This window comes from Homo sapiens, chromosome 3 (genome assembly GCF_000001405.40).
Source record: "Homo sapiens chromosome 3, GRCh38.p14 Primary Assembly".
Lineage (NCBI taxonomy): Eukaryota > Metazoa > Chordata > Mammalia > Primates > Hominidae > Homo > Homo sapiens.
Window position 1 is genome coordinate 45,718,520 of NC_000003.12, and position 27,455 is coordinate 45,745,974.

Genomic DNA, 27,455 nt, shown 5'->3' on the forward strand with positions numbered 1-27,455 from the left:
TTTTTGGTCATTTTTAGATGTGTAATTCAGTGAGTGGCATTAATTTCATTCACAGTGTTGTGCAACCAGCATCCTGTTTCCATCACTCCAGTAAGAAATTCTTACCCATTTAATATCAACTCCCCATACTAAATGGGTATTTAACTATTGTAAATAGTTACACACATTATACTTTACTGTTTATTATATTTCATAATAAAAACATTTAATGTAAGAGGTATGCCAATTCCAAAGGCTTTTGCAACCCTTTACTCTGGGAATGAAGTGGAGAGATCAGCCTTTAGAATTTCTAGGTGTATGACTGTTTATATTACTGAATGGTGTAGGAAGTGTCCTATACCATATACTATTATCAGTAGTAAGGGAAATAACTTTATATAAAGAAAGGCTTTTGGGGAGATACAGTCTTTCATACTGAGGTTCACCTTTTCTATTTCAAGGATAAGGTAGAGTCAAAATTTCCATTTCTAGATAACCTTTGTTTAATTCACTTTGATCTGTGAATCTTCATATGCTTACCAGCTGTTACATGGCTAATTTATAATTATGTGTCATGCATTTCATTTTTTTTCCCCTTAGCTGCAGTAGCCTAGCCTTCCCTCCCCATTTTGTGTTTCTTATTTGAAAGTTAATCTATTTTAAATTTATGTTTTCCATTCAGAGTAGATTTTTCAGTGATGTGGTTAATACTTAATTCTTTAGAAAGTGATTGAGAATATCAGGAAAAGGGAAGCATATCATTTAAATAAAAACACCATAGTGAACTTCTTAAACATACTACCTTCGTGTCATAGGGTTATTAACTTGACAAAACTTCACAGTTGATTATAGTACTAAGGGCTTGTGAATATTCATGAAGATTTGTATACTCTTGTCATTTTTTCTCTTAAAGACCATCATTAGGATAGATAGATGCAAACAATCTAGAAACAATGCTTATGATTTCTATTATATGTTATATTTTTCTTAATGTGGTTAAGTTATTACCATGCATTCATGTTCTATTAATGGAAAATACTTTGATTGGATTCTCATCTCGAGGAGGAGCTGTTTCAGAGCTGGTGTGCGCTATTATGTAAGAGGTGAGAATTTTGTCAGCATGGGTCATATCTGTAATTAATATTTTGTCTTACGGTGACACGAATGTAACCTTTTGTATTTTATTTGTTTTCATTATCATTTGATAGCCTTGCTAAGTATTTATCTCCTGCTTCATTGTAATAATTAGGTAGGTCTTCCGTGCTTCAGTTACTGTAATTACATTGCAAATGTTAATGTGATACTTGTAGGCTGCTGCTTACTGCTTGAAGAGGAACTGATCATGTTGTTTGCTGGATGTCCGAAAGCACAGCTGAACTCAGTGTAGTTTTCAGTAACCTAACTTAGAAAGTATTTTCTTGTATTGCTTTTAGGTTTTTTGCATGCATGAAGCTAGTCATTTGGCTTTGTGCCTTCAACTTTGTAAACATTTACATTTTGAGCATTTATTTTCTAGGCTTTGTACTAGCAACATGCTTATTTTGCTAAACTAAACTTTAAAAATCTGTATTAAAGCTTACTGTCATTATGAAAAGAAGTTTCTCCAACCTTTGTATTTTTTTTAACCAGAATATATCAGCATATTTTATGGCTGTGAGCCATTAAATAAATTGTAGCTTGGGGCCAGAAAGTTGTAGAAATTATTTGCTTAATCTCTCTCATAGCAGAGGAAGAATAACATTGAGTGAGTGACCTGGCAAAGATCACAAACCAAAATTAAAGTTAGCAACTCTGTTGTAACTAGATTTTCTTGGATGGAAACATAGTTTTTGATTAAATTTTTGAACAGGTAGTGCATTTACATATTTCAAATATCAAAAAGTATTTTTTTAATGCAATAAAAAATATTTCCCATTTCTGACCTCATCTGCTTGGTTCTTACCCCCTTCCCAGCTAATCAGATGTTAGTTTCTTGTTTATCCTTCCAGATAATTTTTATGCTAATACAGATATGTGCCCTTCTCTTCCTCCTTTTTTAGACAGTGATAATATTCTGTGCACATTTTTCTGCACCTTGTTTCCTTTTTTTCCTTCATATCTTTTGCAAATCTTTTCATAAAGATCTTTCTTTCATACACACAAACACACATACTGTCTCTCAGTCTGACTCTGACTTTTAAAAATAATTGGATGTTGTTCCTTAGTGGGAATTACGAAGGGAAGCAAGGATAGCCTGTGCCTCTGACAAGTAATCTCATAAAGTATTGAGGAGTCATGTCATTGCTGATTTGGCTCAATAATTTTGGCCCCTTCTGGTGATATGGTAACTAAAACAGTGATACTTCACATATACCTGCAAATGTTATATGTAAGAAATATGTCAGAAAGGATGTTAGGAAATACTTGGCACAGTTAAAAAATACATTGATTTCTTTCTGATAATTTGGTAATTTGGGTCAGGGACTAGCTTGAAAGTTGCCTTTGCTTAGCAAGCGTTTCTTTGTAAAAATAGATTACGTAAACAAATTTTTAAAGGAATGCTTCAAATATTTGAAAGAACTAAACAGCATCAAGAATCCAAACACTTTGCTTTTCAAACTAGGTTTTGTGAGCATATTCATGGAGTTACAGAGGATCACATACAGATTTTGTGTTTTCATTTTGATAATTAAAATCAGTATAAGCATCTGCTGGAGACCATTTGCATTATTATAACAAAATATTATAAACTAGCCTATATTCACCGGGTGCGGTGGCTCACGCCTATAATCCCAGCACTTTGGGAGGCCGAGGCAGGCAGATCACCTGAGGTCGGGAGTTTGAGACCAGCCTGACCAACATGGAGAAACCCCATCTCTACTAAAAATACAAAACTTAGCTGGGCGTGGTGGCGCATGCCTGTAATCCCAGCTACTTGAGAGGCTAAGGCAGGAGAATCGCTTGAACCCGGGAAGCGGAGGTTGCGTTGAGCTGAGATTATGCCATTGCACTCCAGCCTGGGCAACAAGAGCGAAACTCCGTCTCAAAAAATAAGTAAATAAAAATAAAATGGCCTATCTTTACGTTGAGTATTGTGTTGTTACTAAGTATAATTACCTAAATTGATAGTTTTACCTTTCAAACTAGTATTTTTCAAATTAGGATCTATGGACATTTTCTCAGGGGTCTTTGAGATTTTTTTTTTCTTTAAAAGATGTCTCAAGTTTGAGAAACACTACTTTAGAGGAATTTTGTATGTAGAAACAATGTATTTAAGAGCAACCAACTTCATCTGTTTATTAATAGGTTTTTAATACTCCTCTTTAAGCCTGTTTAAAGTGAGCAAGCTTGTGTTAGTTTTCTGATCATGTATAATGAATTTGTTTGAATTGTATTTTCATAATGACTTTTCCACTAACTTGAACTGACTTAATTCTCTCCAAGTTAACCTGAATTAGTGGGTTTCTGATGTGTTTCTTTGTGTAATCAGTATAGTTAATTCTTAATTTTTTTTCTATTTAGGAATTGATTCGGAAGGCCATGCAGCTAACTTTGTAGAAACAGAACAAATTGTGCACTACAATGGGAGCAAAGCTTCGTTTGTACAGGCAAGTTGTTATGTCTGTTAGGCAGTCAGCGAGTTGGCCTTTTCTGCTTGGATTATAATTTTCTGTCATGTTGAAATTTCCCTCTTTTCCCTTCTCTGTTCTTATGTAATATTTTTATCTATGGTGCAGAAAAAGTTCACCCCAAAAAAGGAAAATCCATTAATCTGGCACTAACCTGCTGCCATTTCCTGCCCTTAAATTAAATCCCTAGAGGAGAGGGTAGGCTAGGAGGTGCGAAGAGAGTTATGGAAATGGAGCCATCTGTCTATTGAACCATTTACATGTATTAAGGGCAGTGATGATAGGACAAGCTGATGGCTTATAATTGACTTTACCTGCTACTGTGAGATGTCTCTTCTGTTGCCTTATGGAGTTGTACACCACTTGCTGCTCCAGAGCGTTAGTGGCCAAATACATTCATATGTTCATAAACATATTCATTTGAAAATGAATAAAGCAATTTTCTAATTTTTTCATAATGCCAAATTATATAACAGATGTAACCTGTTAATTTTTACTCATAGATAAATTTAGAATTTCAAGGAAATAACTGTCTACTACACAAATGCCATGTATATAAAACTAGAAGGAGAAAAAGTTCTAAATGTTTTTCCATAAAATATGAACTTTAGGAGCAGATACACGTGGACTTTTAAAGTTGTCGGTAGATTGTATTAGTTTTTTCCCTTGCATATTCATTAATATATACACCCCTGACAATAAGTAAGGTGAGAAAAACAAGTATGTTTGTGTTTCTTTTCACATTTCTCTCTTTTCTTTTAGACTCGAGGATCAATACCTGTTTTCTGGTCCCAAAGACCAAACCTCAAGTACAAACCACTGCCACAGATCAGCAAAGTAGCAAATCACGTGTGTATCTTGCATGCCTTTTTTGTTGGTTAAAAATAGAAGCTTAATAGCATTATAATTTGCATGTAAAGAATGTATTTATTCCGCATAAATCAATGTTCAACATCTTTGAGGCTATTCTTCTTGGTTCCGGCACATAGTAAACCCCTAAACCAAAAGGTGTGTGGGTGGCATGTTAGAAATATAGAAAAACAAACTATGATTGAATGGCATGGCAAGTAAGGATTTGAGAGATCTCAGTAAGATTTGTAACTTTATGCTTTTTAGGGTACTTAATATATTCCACTGAGGTTGTACTCAGAATTAAAGTGGTAGTGTTGCAGCTCAGAGTAAAATAGCTTATGATTACTAGATGACATTTAGAATAGCTAGAAGGCATAGTTCACATCCTGACATCTTTCTTTTGAATATAGAAATAAGACATTTAAGGAGGTCCTTTAAAAATATTATAAATATTTAAATTATATTTATAAATTACATAATGTACTCCAGTAAAATATGTAACTTTTTCCTCTCTAGATGGACGGTTTCCAAAGGCATTTTGATTCCCAAGTAATTATTTATGGAAAACAAGTTATAATCAATCTGGTATGTTTCTTATGTTTCTTGGGGGGAAAAAAAAGCCTTAACTTTTTCTTGACAGAAAATTTACTATTTTAACCATTTTTTAAGTGTACAGTTCAGTGGCATTAAGTAGTTCATAATGTGCAGCCATCATCACTGTTCATTTCCACAACATTTCATCATACCAGACAGAAACTCTACCCATTAAACAATTAACTTCCTATTATATCCCTCCCCACAGCCCCTGGTAATTCTATTTTACTTTCTGTCTCTCTGAATTTGTCTATTCTAAGTACCCTCATGTAAGTGGAATAATACAATGTTTTTCTTTTTTAATGTTTTTAAGGTTCATCCATCTTGTAGCATGTATAGAATTTCATTCTTTTTTTAAGACTGAGGAATATTCCATTGTGTATGTGTATGCATATATGCACACACACACACAGACACACACACACACACACATATACATGCATACCACATTTTGTTTATCCATTAATCTATTGATGGACATTTGGGTTGTTTTCATTTTTTGGCTATTATGAATAATGTTGCTATGAACATTGGTGGTGTGCAAGTATCTGATTGAGTCCCTGTTTTCAGTTCTTTTAGGCTTATACTTAGAAGTAGAATTGCTAGATCATATGGTGATTCTATGTTTAACTCTTTGAGGAACCACCATACTGTTTGCCATAGCGGCTGCACCATTTTGTATTCCCACCAACAATACACCAGAGTTCCAGTTTCTTCATATCCTTGCTGACAATTGTTGTTTTCTGGTGTGTGTGTGTGTGTGTGTGTGTGTGTGTGTGTGTTTAATGATAGCCATCCCAATGGGTGTGGAGTGGTGTTGAGTTGATTTACATTTCTCTAATGATTTGTGTGATTTTGAGCATCTTTGCATGTGCTCATTGGCCATTTGTGTATCTTCTTTGGAGAAATGTCTATGTAAATCCTTTCGCTATTTTTAATCAGGTTGTTTTTTGTTTGAGTTGTAGTCATTCTTTATGAAGTCTGGATATTTATCTCTTAGCAGACAGGTGCTTTACAAATATTTTCTCCCACTCTTTAGGTTGATTTTTTACTCTTGACAATGTCCTTGGTATACAAATTGTTTAAGTCCAGCTTATCTAGTTTTTCTTTTGTTGCCTCTGCTCTTGGTGTCAAATTCAAGAAATTGTCACCAAATCCAATAACATAAACTTACCCCTATATTTTCTTTTTAGGAGTCTTTATAGTTTTAGATCTTACAGTTAGGTCTTTGGTCTGTTTTGAGTTGATTTTTGTTTCGTGTATGTGTGTCTGTGTATTACTTCTTAAAACTGCACATGAGTTAATTTTTGTATATGGTGTAGGTGTAAGGGTCCAACTTCATTCTTTTGCATATGGCTATCCAGTTTTCCCAGCACCATTTATAAAAAGACTGTTCTTTTCCTTTGAATGGTCTGTCACCATAATAAAAACTCAGTTGAACATATATATAAGGTCTTATTTTGAGGCTCTGTTCTATTCCATTGGTCTCCGTGTCTGTCCTTATGACAGGATCACACTATTTTGGTTACTACAGCTTTGTGTAATAAGTTTTAAAATCGGGAAGTGTGATAATTCCAACTTCCTTCTCCTTTTGCAAGATTATTTTGGCTACTTGAGATCCCTTGAGATTGCTTATGAATTTTAGGCTTGGTTTTTCTATTTCTGCAAACAATGTCATTGGGATTTTAGTAGCAATTGCATTGAATTGACAGATTGATCACTTTGACTAGTACTGTCGTCTTAATAATATTGTTAGTCCATCAACTCAGATGTCTTTTTATTTATTTATGTTTTAAAAAATTTCAGCAATATTTTGCAGTTTTCAGTGTACATGCATTTCACCTCCTTGTTTAAATTTATTTTTGAGTATTTATGCCTGAATGGTGTTTTTTTGTTTGTTTGTTTTTCGTTAGTGTAAATGAAATTGTTTTTGTACTTTCCTTTTTGGATATTTCATTGTTAGTATATAGAAATGCAACTGATTATTGTGTCTTGATTTTTGTATGCTCCAACTTTGTTGAATTTCTTATCTCCAATTGATATTTTGCAGAATTTTTAGGGTTTTCTATATATAAGATCGTGTCACCTGTGAACAGAGATAATTTTATGCTTCCTTTCCAATTTGGATGCCCTTTTTTTTTTTCTTGCCTAATTGGTGTTGCTAGAACTACTAATACTATGTTGAACAGAAATTGTGAAAGCAAGCATCCTTGTCTTATTCCTTTTCTTAGGAGAAAAGCTTTTGGTCTTTCATCATTAAATATGATACTAGCTGTGGGTTTTTCACATAATGGCCTTTATGCTGAGGAACTTTTCTTCTTTTTCTAAGTTATCCAGTTGAGTGTTTTTATCAAGAAGAGGTGTTGAATTTTGTCAAATACTTTTCTGTATCAATCGAGATGCTCGTTTGTTTTTTTTCCCTTCATTCTACTAATGTGGTATGTTATACTGATGGATTTTTGTGTATTGAACCAGCCTTACATTGTGGGAATAAATCCTTTTGGTCATGGTATATACTTTTTAAATATGCTGCAGAATTTGGTGTGCTAGTGTTTGGCTGGGGATTTTTACATTAATATTCATAAAGGATATTGGCCTGTAGTTTTCTTGTAATATCTTTGTTTGGTTTTGATATCAGGATAATCTTATCTTTACAGAATAAGTTAGAAAGTGTTCTCTCTTCTTCAGCTTTTTGGTAGAGTTTGAGGAAGACTGGTGTTAATTCTCTAAATTTTGGTACAATTCACTGGTGAGTTCACTAGTAAAGCCATCTAGTCCAGGCTTTTCTTTGTTAGGAGACTTTTTTTTTTTCTGTTCGTTTTCATTACTGATTCAATCTCCTTACTATGTATTGGTCTATTTAGATTTTCTATTTTTTCATGATTCAGTTTTGGCAGGTTATATGTCTAGGAATTTGCCAATCTGGGTTATCCTACTTGTTGGCATACAGTTGTTCATAGTATTCTCTTAGATCCTTTTTATTTCTCAGAAATTGCTAGTAATGTCCACTGTCACTCTTGATTTTAGTAATTTGAGTCTTTTGTTTTGTTTTGGTCAGTCTAGCTAAGAGTTTGTGAATTTTGTTGATCTTTTCAAAGTTCAACTTTTAGTTTTATTGACTTTATTGTTTTTATATTTTCTATTTTATTTATCTCTACTCTGATTTTTATTATTTCCTCCGGTAGCTTTGGGTTTAGTTTGCTCTTCTTTTTCTTGTTCCTTAAAGTGTAAAATTAGGTTATTGCTTTGAGGTTTTCTTTTTTAATGTGTGCATTTACAGCGACAAATTTTCCTCAGCACTGCTTTTGCTTTATTTCTTTTTTTTTTTTTTTTTTTTTTTTTTTGAGACGGAGTCTCGCTCTGTCACCCAGGCCGGACTGCGGACTGCAGTGGCGCAATCTCGGCTCACTGCAAGCTCCGCTTCCCGGGTTCACGCCATTCTCCTGCCTCAGCCTCCCGAGTAGCTGGGACTACAGGCGCCCGCCACCGCGCCCGGCTAATTTTTTGTATTTTTAGTAGAGACGGGGTTTCACCTTGTTAGCCAGGATGGTCTCGATCTCCTGACCTCATGATCCACCCGCCTCGGCCTCCCAAAGTGCTGGGATTACAGGCGTGAGCCACCGCGCCCGGCCGCTTTATTTCATACATTTGGTATATTGTATTTTTGTTTTCATTTGTCTCAGGTATTTTCTAAGTTCTCTTGCTGGGATTTTTTCTTTGAACCAGTGGTTCAGTATGTTGTTTGTTTTTCACATGTTTGTGAAATTTCTAGTTTTCCTTCTATTCTTGATTTTTAGCTTTCTGTTGTGATCAGAATATATACTTAATGTGATTTGAATTTTTAAAAATGTGTTAAAACTTGTTTTTTGGCCTAGATATAGTTTGTCTTAGAGAATATTTCATGTGTACTTGTAAAAAAATGTGTATTCTGCTGCTGTTGGGTACAGTAATATGGTCTGATTGGTTTATGATGGTGTTTAAATTCTCTATTTTCTTATTCATCTCTGTCTGATTGTTCTGTTGTTGAAAGTAGGGTATTGAAGTTTCCTACAATTTTTTTAAATTTTTTATTTATTTATTTTTGGAGATGGTGTCTCACTCTGTCACCCAGGCTGGAGTGCAGTGGCATGCCTCCCTGGTTTGCACCATTCTCCTGCCTCAGCCTCCCGAGTAGCTGGGACTACAGGCGCCCACCACCACACCTGGCTGATTTTTTGTATTTTTAGTAGAGATGGGGCTTTACCGTGTTAGCCAGGGTGGTCTCAATCTCCTGACCTCGTGATCTGCCCGCCTCGGCCTTCCAAAGTGCTGGGATTACAGGCGTGAGCCACTGCGCCCAGCCTCTACTATTATTATATAATTTTCTGTTTCTCCCTTCAGTTCTGTCAGTGTGCTTCATTATATTTTCAGGCGGTCATGGTTTGTTGCATATATGTTTATAATTGTATCTTCTTGGAAAATTGACCATTTAATCAATAAACAATGTTCTTTTTTTGTCTTTTGTAACAATGTTTCACTTAGAGTGTATTTTGTCTGATACTAGTGTAGTTATTCCAGCTCTTTTTTGATTACTATTTGCACAAAATATCTTTTTTCATCCTTTCTCTTTCAACCTATATGTGTCTTTAGGTCTAACATGAATCTCTTAGAGACAGCATGTAGTTAGATCATATTTTTTTCCATTTTGCCAGTCTACTTATTTTTACTGGAGAGTTAATCCATTTGCATTTAAAGTAATTACTGATAAGGATTTACTTCTGCTATTTTGTTACTTGTTTTCTGTGTGTCCTATAGCTTTTTGTTCCTCATTTCCTCCATTACTGTCTCTTATTGTGCTTAGTTGATTTTTTTTGGTAGTGATATATTTTGATTACCTTCTCATTTTCGTTTGTGTATATTCTATAGCTGTTTTCTTTGTGGTTACCATGAGGATTACATATAACATCCTAATGTTATAAGTATCTAATTTGGATTGATACCAGAAGCATATAAAAGCTCTACTCCTGTAAAGCCTTCATGCTTCCTTTTTATGTTGACATTTCAAATTCCATCTTTATATATTGTGTTTCAGTAACATCAATATATAATTATTTTTATGCAGTTGGCTCTTATTTATGTATATATGTATTTATTTTTTAGAGAAAAGGTCTTACTCTGTTGCCCAGGCTTGTGTGCAGTGGCATGATCATAGCTCTGTGTAATCTTGAACTCCTGGGCTGAAGGAATCCTCCCACTTCAGCTTCCTGAGCAGCTAGGACTATAGGCACATACCACCATGCTTGGCTAATTTTTTTGTTTTTTATAGAGATGGGGGTCTCACTATATTGCCCAGGCTGGTCTTGAACTCCTGGCCTCAAGCCATCCTCTTGCCTCAGCCTACCAAAGTGCTAGGATTACAGATGTGAGCCACCATTCCTGACTGCATTTGACTTTTAAATCCTGTAGAAATAAAAATTGGAGTTACAGACCAGGATTTCAATAATACTGGCTTTTATATTTGCCCTTGTCTTTACCTTTTTGGATTTATTTATTTATTTATTTATTTATTTTTTGAGACAGAGTCTTATTCTGTCACCCAGGCTGGAGTACAGTGGCACAATCTCGGCTCACTGCAACCTCTGCCTCCTGGGTTCAAGCGATTCTCCTGCCTCAGCCTCCTGAGTAGCTGGGATTACAGGTGTGGGCCACCACACCCAGCTAATTTTTTTATTTTTGGCAGAGACAGGGTTTTCATGTTGGCCAGGCTAGTCTCGAACTCCTGACCTCAAGTGATCTGCCCACCTCGGCCTCCCAAAGTGCTGGGATTACAGGTGTGAGCTACTATGCCCAGCCTGTTGGAAATTTTTATATCTCTGTATAGCTGCAAGTTACTGTGTAGCATCCTTTCATTTCAACCTGAAGGACTCCCTTTAGCATTTCTTACAGATTGGGTTTAATGATAATGAACTACCTCAGGTTTTGTTTATCTAGGAATGTCTTAATTTTTCCTTCATTTTTAAAGGACGTTTTGCCAGATACAGAATCCTTGGTTGACAGTTTTTTCTTCTTCCAGCATTTAAAATATATGATCCCACTGTCTTCAGCCTCCAAGATTTCTAATGAGAAATTGGCGGATAATCCCATTGAGAATCTCTTGTGTGTGATGAGTCTCCTCTCTCTTGCTGCTTTTCAGGATTCCGTTTTTGTCTTTCAGCTATGTGATTATAATGTTTTTGGTGTGGGTCTCCTTAGAGTTCAGAGCTTGGGTTTGTAGATTCATATGTTTCATCACATTTGGGAAGGTTTTGGCTATTTTTTTTTTCTTCAAATAATCTGTCTCTGCCTTTCTCTCTCTCTTCCTGGAATTCCCATAGTGCTAAATATTTTATTTCACTTTTTGTACTCTTTTGCTCCAGAATTATTTTTTGGCTTCTTATAATAATTTTTCTATCTTTGTTGATATCCTCATTTTGTTTATGTATTGTTTTCCTGATTTCTTTTAGTTGTTTGTCTGTGTTTCCCCTTAGCTCTTTGAGTGTTTTTAAGACAGTTGCTTTAAAGTCTTTGTCTAATAAGTCTAGTCTTTGTCTAATAAGCCAAGTCCTGTCTTGGCTTCCACAGGAACAGTTTCTGTCAATTTCTTATGTTCCATTGAATGAGTCATGTTTTTCTGTTTATTTTTGTACCTGTGATTTTTTTTTTAATTATATGTTTGATTATTATAATATCATAACTCTGGAAGTCAGAGTCTCCTTTTCCCCTACGGTTTGCTGGGGTTTTTTTTGTTTTATTTGATTGTTAAAGACTCTGCTAATCCATTTTTTTTTTTTTTGAGACTTTTCCAAACTATTTTTGCCAAAACTTTCTTATTGTGTATGTTCACTGAGGTCTGTTCCTTTTGCTTCTATTCAGCTGTTTTGACAGGTTTCATTGAATTCCAAGAACTGAAATAGACAAACTAACAAAAAAAGAAAGCAAAAATGAGAGAACAACCCTGTCCCCCATTCTTTGCAGACTTGCTGTATGCTGGGGCAGTCCTTTGCTGAGTAGCCAGGCTTGCTGTGAGCCTAGGGATCAGTCTGTGGTAAAGGTTTAAGGTCTTCTCAGGACTCTTTTCAGCATGCATCTTGCCTGGTTATGTGGGTGGCCTTCAAAACTCCTTCATATACATGGCTGCTTTTGAAAGTCCTAATTTCCTAAGAATATCACCAAGCTTCTTCTCCAGCCTTTAGATGGTCTATTGTATGTCTCCATCCAGAATTTTTTGCCTCAGGCATCCATTGGTTTATGTTCCTCTTGTAGCTTTTACAAACAGTGGTCACCATTTTTACTGCCCGTGTTCAGAGATACGTGGGACAGAGATGAGTTAGTCCTTCATGTTACAACAGATGTACACAATTATATGCAAATAAGGTCTGGTCTGCCTCCTCTAGTTTGATGAGGGGAACTGAGAACCCGGTTATTCCCTTGTAAGACTAAGGTTGTCACCACTCTGAGGAGGGGCTGGGTCAAGGACAAGTTAAATGCCACAAAACTTTCCCACCATTTTGAAAGTGACTTTTACTTTATTGGGTGCTTGGGTGGGTTACTATAAAACCTTTAATCGTTTTTCAGAGCTCCTACAAAGTTGGCTCAGACAGCTTCTGGGTTTTTTTGATGTTTCTGTGGGAGAATGATGAGAGCTTAGAGCTTCCTAGTTTGTCCTTTTTCTGATACCATTCTCTCCTTTGAAATAAACTGGAAACTATGGTGTTTGAAATTTTTTACAGATTAACCAGAAGGGCTCGGAGAAGCCACTTGAGCAGACATTTGCAACAATGGTGTCTTCCTTGGGAAGTGGAATGATGAGGTACCTCACTAGAAATCTGTTGCAGGTCTTTTCAGATCAGATGTGCACTTACATATATGCATGATTACATAGAGCTCACTAGACATATGTTTCAGCTTGCATTTTTTTCAATAGTAGATCAAAGCATGATATTTTGTTGGCTTGAAATTTCTCTAGCATAATTTATGTTGCAGAATAACTTCTTTTCAGTCAAGTTTTGAGTTTAGTCTCTGATTAAAATTCCCTCATTGAGGCTTTGTGCTCCAGAGAGTTTCCATAGATAATACTTTGCCACTAGAATTGCCTTAAGGAATTTGGACTAGGCCTCTTTGCAGTGCATACCTGATTGCTGTACTTGAGCTTACTTCACTACCATTTGTTGTGTTTCTCCTCTACTCCTCCTGAGGGCCCCAGAAGAACCTGTGAGGATAGATATATATGCATATATTTTCATGTTTATATCTGCACATATCATATATATATTTTTTCCTCTGCTAGGTATGAGCATGAGAAGGGGTGTGTGTGTGCATGTAGTATATGTATAGTGATAAACCCAGAGTGAAGGAGGTTCTAGTGTTCCCAAGAAATATGTATGCACTGATATAAAGAGGAAAATCAGCTTATGAAGGTATTATTAATAGAAGGAAAATGAATGATCTCTGGTCGGTTTCTGAATATCTTTTCTTTTGGTAGATACATTGCCTTTGACTTCCATAAGGAATGTAAAAATATGAGATGGGATCGACTAAGTATTTTATTGGATCAGGTAGCAGAAATGCAAGATGAATTAAGGTAAGCTATATTATTTCCTTAAGGAGGTAGAGGGAAGAGGTATATATATCAGTCATATTTTATTATGCGTCATCCAGCAGACTTACAAGTACAGTTCACTGGATTGTCATTGCTTGTCTGTACTATTTTATTATTTTTAATTTCTTTACTGGAAAGATGAGACTTGGTGACTTCAAAATATTTTTGAATTCTTAAAAATGACCCAAGGCCAGATATCTTCATATTTTTATAAATTATCTACCATACATTTACAAATTTTTGTATAATTGAACTTGGTTTACTACTATTTTGTATTGTCGTTTCCACTAGACATTCTATCACAAGTATTTTGTTGTTAACCTGTACAGCGTCTGTAATGATAGTGTTTAATGGCTTTTCTATATTCTGTTTTATCATAACATAGTTCTAAGAAAGTGCTTTTCTTCACCCTGAGCACCTGGTTTATTTCCTTTCCTCTTTCTATCATGAAAGATTGTGGTGCCATGAATCATTATATATATTTTACATCTGTTAAATTTATTTCTTTAAAAAAATTCTTCAGAGTAGGATTAATGGATCAAAGGGTCTGAATGTCTTTGCAGTACTATATTATCATATTGGTTCAGGTTTACCATACTCTATGCGTGCCAGTCTTTACCGATTTTAAAGCCAGAAGAAGGAATCTGTAAATCGTACTACCATTTTCTTCTGCCTGTGTGTGATGGTTCTAAACCTGGCAATCCAAATGCACTTTTTAATTTGTTACACAATAATATAGTAAAACCTCTTGGATAGACATTTGCTCAGTTTTCAAAAATATCTTTTTATATACATTAGGTAATCAACTACAGTTATTTAAATCTGCTTTTTTTCTGTGACGTTTTGCCATGAACACAGAAGGGAAATTGACCTCCTGTTGTTGGGCAATTAGAGAAAACATTGGCTGGCCCTGGCATGTTGTTGGAGGAGGTAGTTCCTTGGGTTCACCCATTAACTGCTGCCGTACAAGAGTGTAAGAAAGAAGGAGAGTTGACTCCAGAGTTTGTGTTCGTTGCTGTTCACTGTGGTCCACAGGGAGAGCAGAGCTTTCACTGGTGACTTTCAGATGATCTCTCGAGACTTTTTTCTAAGGGTTTTGGGGGTAGTGGGAAGAATCTGGGCTTTGGGATCCAACACACCTTGGTTTGAATTTAAGTTTTTCTCTTAGTAGTAATATGACCCAGGGCCACTTAGTTATCTTCAGACTTCGGTTTCTTCATTTGTAAAGTGAAGATGATAACTTACTGTATAGTTTAAGCGATAATGTTTATAACATATCTAGGATTTTATAAGTATTCATGGGGTACGGACACACACACCCTTGCACACACATATATATGTACACCAACTCTAAACGAACCTTACCAATTCTGCATGATCCATATGTAGATTTTTCATCCTAACACATTCTTCCACGCTTTTGTTCCTGAGGTCATGATTTGTATTTAGCCCTTGATGAATCTGTTGCATTTTCTTCCTCCTTTTGGATTTTGGAGAATAGTTTCAATAGTTAACATTATCCAGTATTCGTTGTTTGCTGTGTTCCATACACTGTGCTAAGTACTTTATGTGCATTATGTGTTATCTCATTCAAACCTTAGAGAAGCCTAATGGTGGTGCTGCTGTTACCTCCATTTTGTGGATGAAAAAGCTTACTATTTAAAGTTCTAGAGTTAGTAAGTTGCGTATGATGCTAAGGCTAGCAAACAGATAGTTTGCTTCCTGCATCCATATTCTTAACCACCACACTGTGTGTTGTCAGATTTTTGAATTCATAGAATTATCAAGGAGCTTGTTAAAGAAAACATGGGAACTGGTAACTGTGGTTGGTTGCAGTGCAGACATCTGGATGTTTAAGGGGAGGAAGGGAAACTGATTTTTCAAATAATACCCAATTGTTCTTTATAAATCTTGTACTATTTGCATGTATTACCCATTTAAGAATTTTTTTTTTTTTTTTTGGCTGGGGGCTGTGGCTCACGCCTGTAATCCCAGCACTTTGGGAAGCCAAGGCAGACGGATCACCTGAGGTCAGGAGTTCAAGACCAGCTTGGCCAACATGTCAAAACCCTATCTGTACTAAAAATACAAAAATTAGCCAGGCATGGTGGTGGGTGCCTGTAATCACAGCTACTCAGGAGGCCGAGGCAGGAGAATCACTTGAACCTGGGAGGCAGAGGTTGGAGTGAGCTGAGATCATGCCACTGTGCTTCAGTCTGGGTGACGGAGGGAGATTCCATCTCAAAAAAAAAAGAAAAAGAAAAAAAATATTTTTAAGTATTTAAAAAAAATTTTTTTTAATTTAGATACAGGATATCGCTCTGTCACCCAGGCTGGAGTGCAGTGGTGTGATCATAGTTCACTGCAACCTTTAACCCTTGAGCTCAAGTGATCCTCCCACTTTAGCCTTCTGACTACAGGTAGGCACCACCATGCCTGGCTACGTTTTTGTTCTTTTAGAGGCAGGGACTCGTTATGTTGTCCAGGCTGGTCTCGAACTTCTGAGCTCAAGTAATCCTTCCACCTCAGCCTCCCAAGTAGCTGGGATTACAGGCACGCACCACCACGCCCAGCTAAAAGTATTTTTAATGCAAAATATTCAATCCTTGCCTCAGAGATTCTGATTCAGTTGATCTCAAGGCCAGGAATCTTTTTTCACAAGCAACCCAGAGGATTCTAAAGATAGTATATGAATCATAAAGCCCTGACATCTAGGGATATAGTTGGAATAATTATGTTAGAGGAAACCCTCATCTGGCTTTGGGAAACATGATTGATTTGCACAGCAACCTTTTTAATACTCTTAACTTTACTTTTTCACATCTTTGGGGTGAGATGATCTCTAATCTTCAGCCATTTTTTGGATGGAGGGCTGTCTTGCCTCAGCCATTTAGACTTCTTTTTGGTCTAGGATAATCACATATGCCTGACCACACATTCCTGTCTGACCTTTTAATTTACAGTTTTTAATAATGTCACTGAAATGAGACCCATGTTATAAGAGTTAAGTCCTTAGTAAATCTGACCTACTTTGGTATGAGAGTGTTTATACAAATATGTTTTAGTTATTTTCTAGTGGACTCTGCTGGCCAGGTGGTGGCAAACCAGGAAGGCGTGTTCCGAAGCAATTGCATGGATTGTCTAGATAGAACCAATGTGATCCAGAGTTTGTTAGCTCGTCGTTCACTTCAGGCCCAACTTCAGGTGCGAATGCTTTTTTTTTTTTTAATTGAAAAACAACACAGCAAAAAATTAAACATCTTTAAAACCCAGTAACAAAAAATATTCACATTGCCCACACCCTAACCCAGCTCTTTTTATTTTTGTGTCTTGCCCATGGATGTCACATTTTCCATAACTAGGGTCAGTCTGTGTATGCACAGTTTTCACTTTTGCCATTTTCCCTTAGCATTTATGTAATCACAGTTTCTGGTGGTTGTATTGTTGTGCCGTAATTTACTAAGCCATTCAGATTGCTACATTTTTGGTTTATAAATAACACCGTAGAGAATATATCTGTATATGTTATTATTAACTTGAATTATTTCCTTCATGTTAATTCCTAGAAGTGGAATTACTGGGTTAAAGAGAATAAATATATTATTTTCCAAGAGCGTCATACCAGTTTACACTGACACCAATAATGAATCAGTAAATCCATTTCATTGAACTCTTCCCAGCATTTGATATTTTAATTTTTTTTTTGTTTTTCCTTGAGAAAGTGTCTGGCTCTGTTGCCCAGGCTGGAGTGCAGTGGTGCAGTCTCGGCTTGCTGCAACCTCTGCCTCCTGGGCTCAAGCCATCCTACTAACTCAGCCTCCCACAAAGCTGGGGCTACAGGCATGTGCCACCACACCTGGCTAATTTTTGTATTTTTTTTTGTAGAGACAGGATTTCACCATGTTGCCCAGGTTGGTCTCAAACCCCTGGGCTCAAGCAGTCTACCTGCCTCAGCTCCCAAAGTGCTGGGATTACAGGCTTGAGCCACTGTGTCTAGCCTCTTTTTTTTCTATTTCGTTAATACAAAAGTAGCACCTCAAGATTGTTTCTATTTATCTCTCTCTTATTACTAGCAAGGAATATTGACTCCAAAGTAAAAAGTTTCTGACACAGCTTTGCTTTACCACTAGACTATGCTGTTGAGAAAAATGGTTTTTTTCTTCTGTGTATATTTGGAATGAAAAAGATGTAGAGCCCCAATTTTTAAATCACATTGGCATTTGTTGTGAGGGGCAGACAAAATGCATACCACATGGTTTCCTGTTCAGGTAATTAGTAAGCATTCAGCTTTATTTCTGACAATTGTATGATACCGAGAAAGAAATTATGGAGGTAAAATACCCCCTTCAGAATGAATTGTTCTTGAATCTTAAAGTCACACCTGCCAGAGGAGTGCTGTCCCTGTTGGAGTAGTCTGTAGTTTGTATTGTGCTATGTCCTCGTCTGTTGGAAGGTCTTCTAAGTGTAGTTTTTAATAGAAACAATATTAGGAATGGTTTGGTTCCATGGCTGATTAACCAAAACTTACTTGACTAGGCTCTGCAATCCATATTTTACAATTTTACATGCTATATATAGTATTATGAAACCTAACCAACCTGCAGAGAGTGGGGGCAGGAGCCTCTCCAGCAGCTTTGCCTACTAGTGTAGGGGCTGTCTACTTGTGCCTCTCCAAGTCTGCCAGTGAAGGCAGAGTTCTTACCCAGCTAAAGGTCACCAAGGTGGCTCCTGTGCTGTGTCTGAGGGTGGGAATGACTCCTTCTGAGGTGGAGATGAGGTGTCATCTGAGGTAAGCAATGAAGATGGTGGTTCTCAGAAGTGATGGTCTGAGACAAGGCAGGGACTTGTCATCTGTGGTTGGTGGTCTCCAAAGGGGAGTCTATAGAGGGGATTCAGGGGGCCCAGCAACCCTGGGATATTCTATGTCTGTGTGTGTGCACTTTTGGGGAGGTAGATTAGGTGGCACTCATCAGATTCTTAAAGGTCCCTGGGACAGAGGGTAAGGCTGGGGTGACTCAGGGGTGAAGAAGTTGAGGGATGATGCATGTGAGGGGGTCTCAAGGGGTAGAGGCAGTAGAAGACTGGGGGTAAGAGGGAGGGAGGAAGTAGCGGCTGGAATCCTATAGCAGCTTTCACTCTCTCTTCTGACCCTCTCCCTGAGTATAGTCCTGCTGCTATCCCTCAAGGGAGTGCGGGGGCTGCAAGGCAAAGGTGCCCTCAGGAGAGGCTTTGCAGTCTGCCCTGGGCAGGAGAGGGCTGCTGTGAGCTGGGGCCCCCTATAGACAACAGACATTTCTGGCCTGCATCCAGCAACCAGGCACCATGAGATAAAATTTGGGGACTGCTTTTTCTTCCTAAACCATGTCTGCTAAAATCTATTACACATAAATCTGGGTGTGGTTTTTTATTCCAGAGACTAGGAGTTTTGCATGTGGGACAAAAGCTTGAAGAACAAGATGAATTTGAGAAGATTTACAAAAATGGTAGGTCATTTCTTTAATATAGACAAAGTTGGTCAGATTTTGAAATAAATTAATATTCTGGATTTAGAACTTTGTTTGTCATCTTAATAATTATCAGCTGTTTTTACTTTTTTCTACAGCCTGGGCTGACAACGCAAATGCTTGTGCCAAGCAATATGCGGGAACTGGTGCCTTGAAGACTGACTTTACCAGGCAAGCCATGCTTTTAAAATAGCATTCCACATCAGTAGTTCACAGTCCTGGTGCTTTTAAAAATCACCTGGGCAGCTTTCAGACAGCAGCAGCAACAACAGCAAGACTCCAGCATCTGGGCCTCACTTGAGACCTGTGGAGTCAGGATTTCTGGGAAGTGAGGCCCGGGTACTGGTGTGTTCTTAGCCACCCTGGGAGATTCTGATGCTTGGGGAGGGTTGAGAGCCACCGCTCCACAGTGCTCCTCAGACCTTACCGTGTACCTGAAGCACCAGTCTTGAGATGTGCTCTAAAAAGCACCCAGGTGATGCTGATGCTGCTTTCAAAGACTGCACTGAGTAATGAGGACATTAATGAGAACATTTTGAATGTATTATGCATGCAGTGGCTCTTTTTCTGCTATGTGGGTTCCCTGGGAGCAGAATAAGATTTCTAGTCTGTTTGCTTTGCTGTGTCCTACCACTTAACCTGGGCTATGTATTTCTCTTCATATTTCTTGTCTTTGCAACTGGAATTAGTGTGTTTCTTTGTGCCTCCTTTGGTAATATTTTAGAAAGAAAATAGGTATTTCTTGGACCTACAAGTGATTTCTTTTGTGAAGTATCTGTATTTTCAGGGATAGTTTTTAAAATCTGTCACTCACTTATTTCTATACCTTATGCTTATTGGCCATAAAACAGTGTGAGAATTCAGTGTACAAACCTGTAACTTAAAATTTAACCTCTTTAACCAGAACTGGAAAGAGAACTCATTTGGGACTTATAATGGATGGCTGGAACTCAATGATACGATATTATAAGAACAACTTTTCCGATGGATTTAGACAAGTAAGTTTGTATTTGATGCTTTCCTGGCATTACGTGGTTGTATCTTTGCATTGTTCATCACTAATGTTATCTCACACTGAGTTTACGAATTTCTTCCTTTCTGTTCTAGGATTCCATAGACTTATTTCTTGGAAACTATTCAGTGGATGAATTAGAATCTCATAGTCCTTTAAGTGTTCCAAGGGACTGGAAATTCCTGGCTGTAAGAAACCATTTTGTATTTTTCAAGTTTTTAAAAGCATTGTGTCTGAAGGTATAGATGGTTTCAGTCTCAATTTAAAACGTTATATGTGGTTTTATATTTCATTACATGAAATATAAATACTTAAGTTTTCCAAAGAGGTCAGGCTGAGGAGTACAGTAACTGTGGAGCATTTGTTTTCTTTTCCTCAGACTCTCACACATCCTTTTCATGTGAAGTAACATAAGCAAAGGGAATGTGGAAGCTTTCTCATTTCAGGAAAACTTCAATTCTCTTACATTGAGGGAATTGCCAGAGACAAACGTGTTACATGGAAGGCAAAGTTTATTTTTGATGCTTCTCTCCTTTTTGACTCCTCTGTTCACCAGACCCTGCAAGAGCCGCTCTGGATTTTCTTTCCAGTGTGTCAAGTGCTCTGGAATGGAAGGGAGGCCTAGTGTTCTAGGTCCTCATCTGGGCATCCTCCTTCCATTTAGCACCCTTTGGCTTGGAGCAAAAGCATGCTTCTTCCGATCTTACCACATCCCCCATCTAAAGTCTAGGGCAGTTGTGATTGAACCCATAAATAATAATGTTTTGTTGACAAAAGATATTAGCTGTGTATTAGCTGACAGATGAGTTTTATTCTTTTCCCAAGCAATGCATGCACAACTGATTTTGCTGCCATTGATTAGCATTCTTAAATGATGATCTCTTTCTATTGTCTTTTCCAGTTGCCTATTATCATGGTTGTTGCCTTTTCAATGTGCATTATCTGTTTGCTTATGGCTGGTAAGTCTGCTCCACACATTTGTTTCTTAGTTAGAATGTTGACCTTTCTTTTACAACATCTTAAGTTTTTGAGTTCACCGAACACTTGATGTTTCCCTATTAAATTTAATGGGTAAAGTGGATGTGACATTAGATTGTCATTAGATGTGACAGGAAGAAAAATAACATACCTAGTAGTTTGATGGTTGTCGTTTTTTTTAACCTCAGATTTTAAAAACATGTTTTTCTTATTACTGTAAACCAATGAGTGTCTGAGACAGGTCTCAGTCAGTTTAGAGGCTTAATTTGCCAAGGTTGAGGACCTGCCCAGGAAAAAGAGACACAAGATACAGTAGGATCAGTATCTTGTGCTTTTTCCAAAGAGGGTTTTAAGGACTTCAGTATTAAATGGGGAAAGAGTGTACAGGAGAGGAAGGAGGAATGGAAACAAAAGGGGAGGGTAGGTAGTAAGATAAGTGGTCACATTCTTGTGAGGCTTTGATTAGCACTCACTGAATCCATGTTACATGTGAAAGGACGGGGTAGAGGAACAGTCAATTATGCATTCATCTCCTGCTCAGTAAATCTGCATTTTATGTAAGACAAAGTAAACATAGAGTAGATAAAGAAGTCAGATCTGCATTTGTTTTGGGGTGGGCGGAGGGATGATTTTCTAGTCTTGTCTTTGTCCCATACCTGTGAAAATAAACTGTTAATTTACATTGTCAGGGTGAGGGAGATTCAACAGGACTGTCTTTTAGGGTAAAGATTTTGGGGCCCACAAGGAATTTGCTTGTGACAGTTTGTGAGGGTGGCCATCTGTGAGGATATGTGGCCCACTATCTTTGCAGCTGTCTACTTAGGAACAAAAGGAGGGTAGTTTTGTGAGACTCAGTTCCCAAGTTTAACTTTTTCCTTTGGCATAGTAAATTTGGAGTCCTGAGATTTTATTTTCCTTTCACATTACCAAAGTAATACATAGTAATTATAGAAAGCACACGTAGGCAGAAAAGGAGAAAATATTATTTATCATCATACCTTTGAGAGAGAAGCTAACCACTCTTAACATTTTGATGTTTTAATCTTTATAAGTGTCTGTGATTTTTTTTCAAAAGTGAGATACGTATTTTCATTATCTGCTTTTTTTCACTGAGCAGTATGTTTTCCCATGTTCTTAATTGCTAATGGCTGCAAAGTATTCCATTTATGGATGTATAGTTTAACCAACTCAAATAAATGTTAATGGATTAAGATATTACTTATCATTACATTTTAAAGGTTGAGAGTAAAATTGCCTGAGAACCTGAGGAGACAAGGTCTTTACTGGTTTTCTTTTTTCTCTTAATATTTTGCTATGTTACTGAGTTAATAAAGCATTTAAGATTAAAGTGAGAAGAATGTATTCTTTATTCTCCTTTGAGTAATGTCCTGTAATTTGGAGGTTTGAGTCTGAGACTTGGTGTATTGGACGTTGGAGATGCAATCCTAGTCACTCTGAAAGAAGAGGCACCTTCCAGCCTTCATCCTCTATCCTGAATTCGTTGAGCCAACCTCTCTCTGCCTGTCTGAATTCCACCATCCTCAGGGCACCATTCATATGCTCCCCTCTCACAGAGTGTCTCTCCCACACAGAAGTCTTCACCTTCTGTCTGGATTTCCACAGCACTCCTGGTCCTCTCTCCCAGCACTTTCCTCTTTTAACCTCATTAATACATAGGGAGTTATTTTTCAGAGGTGGTATACCTCTTTGGTGTACCTGACATACCCAGTGTGTATTTCTTTTTGGATGGTAATGATTTGCATACTTGTTTGTTTTTTTCACTGGATCAGCAACTTTTTGAAGGTAAAGACTGTGTCTTACTCATTGTTTTATCTCCTTTGTCCAGGATATAGTGAGCCCTCAGTAAATGTTTGCTGAATTAAGGACTCACTCCACCACCACCACTAATTCTGTCACCTTTTTGATAGGGAGGCTCAGTTACCTGTTCATCTCTGTATTCCCCTCAGTGCTCAGCCCTGTAGACAGTCGTGACATAGTTTTAACTAAATGCTGAAATGTTGAGTAGGGGGAAAGAAAGAGCCATCTTATTATTATTATAGTTAGCAAAATTTTTCTGTAAAGAGCCAGGTAGTAAATATTTTTGTCTTTATGGATGGCTGTACATTCTTTGTTTTTGTGTTTATAACCATTTAAAAATGTAAAAAGCATTCTTACCTTACAATACAAAAACAGGTTGAAGCACAGGTATTGCCTGGGACATGACTGCAGGTTTTAGGGCAGGAAGGAAGAGGCAGCATGTGCCGGTTCCTCAGCGGCCAGCCCTGCTTTCATTTCCTCTCTGGGTCCTCTGCCTTCTTTCCTGAAAACACTGCCCAGCGCATGCCATTTTTGGGGAGCCACTCTACTGTTAAATTAGTTCATTTTGTTGTTGTGACTATACCCACATTTACTTAAAGAACCTCTGGAGAGGCAGGAAAGTCAAGACCAAGAACTCTGCTTGAATGAAACGGATGATTCCTTTAGGGAGTGTCCAGCAGAGTGGCTAACAAGGAACTGCCCTTCTTCTTTTGTCCAAGAAGAATTTTAAACTTCAGAGCCATGAAAATGAGCAATTATGCAAATTCGAGTATATTTTGAGTAAAAAGAGATTGGATGCTGTGGATGGTAACTTCTCATGTCAGTTTATTCTTATGATAAACTTTGTGATGTTTGGTTATGGTAATATCTGATTTCTAGCTCCTGCTGTGGTTTTCAAAGAGAATAGAAAACAAATGTAGCATGATCTCTGAGGGCTTGTTAGGAAGGAGTCTGGATGCTAGTTTCTTCCGTGGTGTGCTCACTGGCTGTCATTCCCTGTATGTATTTCTCCTTCTGCAAATGAGGCCAGTAGTGTTGCAGAGAGAGAAGCTATTCTCTAGGTTCAGCTATTCAAGGAGTAAAACAAAGTAGATCTTTGCCCACCGGCTTGCTGCTAACCTTTATGAACTTCGGACTTTGGAAAATGCATATCAGCAGAGTTGGGTTAAATATGTCATTAAAATAGGTTATTGGCTGGGTGCTGTGGTGTGTGCCTATAGTCCCAGCTACTCAGGAGGCTGAAGTGGGAGGATCACTTGAGCCCAGGAGTTCTGGTCTGTAGTGTGTTATGCTGATCGGATGTCCGCACTAAGTTCAGCATCAATATGGTGACCTCTTTGAGCAGGAGATCACCAGGTTGCCTAAGGAATGGTGAACTAGTACAGGTTGGAAACAGCAGGACAAAACTTTCATGCTGATCAGTAGTGGAATGGTGCTTGTGAATAGCCACTGCACTCTAGCCTGGGCAACACAGCAAGACCCCATCTCTAAAGAAAATGTTATTGACTTTTGTTTTATATATTTGTGTATATGCAAAAAATACTCTACAAAATATACATAACTTCAGAAAAGTTATGTATAACTTATGTTTGGTATTTATGAATATTCTATTAATTTTTTGTGCAGGTGTTTTGACAATAGCTCATATCTGTTATAGAACTATGAATTAAACTTAATAGTTATTTGTATTATTAAAATATACTAAAAGTGATCATTATTATTTGTATAATATAATATGAAATCATTTAGTCCAGTGGTTCTCAAAGTGTAGCCTCTTGATCGGTAGCATCAGCATCACCTGGGTACTAGGAACTTGCTAGAATGCAGATTCCTGGGGCCCAACAGTTGATGCTTTATCAAGCCCTGCAGAAGATTCTGGTACTAGCCAGGGTTTGAGAACCACTGGTTTAAACCTTAATTAAGAGGTTCTTATATTTTTCCTGTGAATGTGCTAGTAAACTTTAATGTTGCCAAAATGTGCTAAACAGCTGAAAACTGGGTCTGATATCAACAAACGACTTATTTAGCTTTTTGTTTCTTAATATCAACAGGTGACACTTGGACAGAAACACTGGCCTATGTGCTCTTCTGGGGAGTTGCAAGCATTGGAACATTTTTTATCATTCTTTACAATGGCAAAGATTTTGTCGATGCTCCCAGACTGGTCCAGAAAGAAAAGATAGACTGAATTTGTATTTGTGGAAAGCGGCTTGGCTTGGAAGATTCCATTGTGCAGAACTGGAGTCTTTACTGACCCGCTTTCCACATCAGCCCAAGGTCTTTTTAATGCCTTTATCCAAAAGCACATCTTGTGCTCCATGCAGGATGATGACAGAATTGATCTGATGTTACTGCCTTGATGGTCTCTTTACTATTGGGACAGTTAGATTTATAATTTGAAGCTATTCTGTAATTAAAATATAACCTGAATTCAGCTTGCAGAATGGAAGCTGAATCTGTTCATTGTATTCTATTGATTGTCAATTTAATTAGCTGTTGCAGAATAAGTAATATATTTTAAAAACCTAGCTCCTTTCATTATTTAAAACAGCAAAATTATTTTTGTAGCTCAGTTTCATTATTGTCATTGTAGAAGCGGTCACTATTAGCAGGCATACTTTTCCACACATCTTTGGACTTTTCTTAAAAGTTCAGTAATAAGCTAACTGTGTTTATAAAATGTAAGTCTCTTACAGACATCAAGTAGTTTGATGAGACAGTCTGTGACTTCATGATAGGAAAGAGGAGGATGAGGTCTGGGGTTCTTTAAAGTCTCTGGTGGGCTGCCTCATGACTTTAATCAGCTTGAACTGCCAGTGCACCAGCAGTTTAGGTGTGATGAGAGAATTCAGATATACTTTATCTTTTTAAAAAAGTGTAAATAAAATCAAAGAATGTAAAGTCTATCTCTTACGCTAGAGGTCCAAAGCTGCCTCTGTTTTAAAGATTATCCCAATGTGGAAGATGCCCATGACTGGTCAGCTACTTCCTCCTATACATTTTGGTTTCTTTGAGGGTCACTCATTGAGACACGCAGGCCTCTGAGAGGGTCTTGTTCTAGATTTCATATTGCACTTGGAGGGTAACAGCTGCTTTTTCACGCATGGTACTCTTGATGTTTTTCACTCTGTCAAGGATTTTGTTGGCTATCAATGAATGTGTCTAAAACTTAGTGCTTCCAGGTAGTTATAGTACTCCAAATCAAGGACCAACTTAAACGTTAATTTTTGTGCAAAAACAAACCTGAAAAATATGCTTCGGAAACTGTGCATAGTTCTAATTGTAAGTCAGATTGTATATTCAAATTGTAATTAAGAGATTTAAATATTAGAACGGTATGTAAGGTAGTATAATTACCACTATTTTAAATAATTCAGTTAAACACTGCTGCAATATTTCAGTGTTGTGCTTGAAAATATGTACAGTTTTTTTCCAATATTAATACCTTATGTTGTCCTTAAATATTTCTAAAAGCGCCTTTATTTCAGCATTACCTTTTTTTCATCACTATCTTTTATAAAACATTAATATAAGTCGTTACTTTTAGAAACTAAAGGAAATAATAGCTGGAAAACCCTCTGTAGTTTAAAATCAGTCATTAAACTCACAATAGGGTAAGTAAATATAGCCACCTGTTAACATGTAAATAAGCATAATTTGTTCCAAAGATGGAATATTGAAACTTAGTTCATGTCTGCTGTAAAATATTATTTAAATGCTGCTGGGCATTTCACTTAAAGAACTTAATGTCAACAGCTACAACAAAGACCAAATCTGAACTGCTAATGTGGCTGCTTTGTAGGGAATGGACTAATATCAGTGTGTTAGATCTTAAGGTATCAGTATTTCAGAATCCTGCGACGATTTTATTTCTAAATTCATGTACTGTATGTCCATAAGTGAAAATAAAATGTCATATTCTTTTCTATTATTGGTATCATTCATGTACTTTGAAAGTGATGTTTTTCTTTTTGATCTTAGAATGCTAAAAATCATGCAAAATGATAGACGGTTTGGCTCTGTGTCCCCACCCACCCAAATCTCATCTCAAATTGTAATCCCTACGTGTTGAGGGAGGTACCTGGTGGGAGGTGGTTGGATCATGGGGGATGGTTTCCCCCATGCTGTTTTCATGAGTTTGCACGAGGTCTGATGGTTTAAAAGTGTTTGGCATTTACCCCCTTGCTCGCTCACTTTCCTGCCACCGTGTTAAGATGTGCTTTGCTTTCCCTTCACCTTCTGCCATGATGAAGTTTTGTGAGGCCTCCCCAGCCATGCGGAACTGTGAGTCAAACCTCTTTTCTTTATATGTTACCCAGTCTCAGGTAGTTCTTTACAGCAGTGTGAAGACAAATTAATACACAAAGCAATGCATGATCATCATAGAAAAATTAGAGTAAGCAAGAAAATCAGTAGCTTCTGCAATTTTGCTTTCCAGTTATGATCACTTAAGAAATTTTGTATCTCCTTATAGTTTTTATTTTTAGTTATAG

The 27,455-nt window shown here is 37.1% G+C and overlaps 1 protein-coding gene and 1 pseudogene across 6 annotated transcripts in view, besides 1 other annotated feature; both read left to right on the forward strand.

Moving 5' to 3' along the window:
• SACM1L (SAC1 like phosphatidylinositide phosphatase) overlaps positions 1–26,890 on the forward strand; it is a 56,014-nt gene extending 29,124 nt beyond the window's left edge. For 5 of the 6 annotated variants that reach the window (NM_001319073.2, NM_001437893.1, NM_014016.5 and 2 more), the window contains 13 exons: positions 981–1,082; positions 3,481–3,566; positions 4,350–4,436; positions 4,956–5,024; positions 12,782–12,861; positions 13,534–13,632; positions 16,716–16,854; positions 19,064–19,133; positions 19,253–19,325; positions 20,059–20,152; positions 20,262–20,354; positions 21,068–21,125; positions 25,014–26,890. In NM_001319073.2, the coding sequence (NP_001306002.1) occupies positions 981–1,082; positions 3,481–3,566; positions 4,350–4,436; positions 4,956–5,024; positions 12,782–12,861; positions 13,534–13,632; positions 16,716–16,854; positions 19,064–19,133; positions 19,253–19,325; positions 20,059–20,152; positions 20,262–20,354; positions 21,068–21,125; positions 25,014–25,150 (1,187 nt within the window). In that variant the 3' untranslated portion in view covers positions 25,151–26,890. Of the gene's footprint in view, positions 1–980; positions 1,083–3,480; positions 3,567–4,349; positions 4,437–4,955; positions 5,025–12,781; positions 12,862–13,533; positions 13,633–16,715; positions 16,855–19,063; positions 19,134–19,252; positions 19,326–20,058; positions 20,153–20,261; positions 20,355–21,067; positions 21,126–25,013 lie in introns of those variants that run through there. The other variant, XR_007095650.1, reaches the window with a different exon arrangement.
• Positions 9,083–9,279: a silencer, noted in NCBI's record as "fragment chr3:45769094-45769290 (GRCh37/hg19 assembly coordinates)". NCBI's record gives its function as "represses an EF-1alpha promoter that drives an FKBP-Casp9 reporter gene in an ReSE screen in K562 erythroleukemia cells {active_cell/tissue: K562}" and the evidence as "EXISTENCE:reporter gene assay evidence [ECO:0000049][PMID:32094911]".
• RN7SL145P (RNA, 7SL, cytoplasmic 145, pseudogene) lies at positions 24,156–24,451 on the forward strand (annotated as a pseudogene).
• Positions 26,891–27,455: the final 565 nt, after the last annotated feature.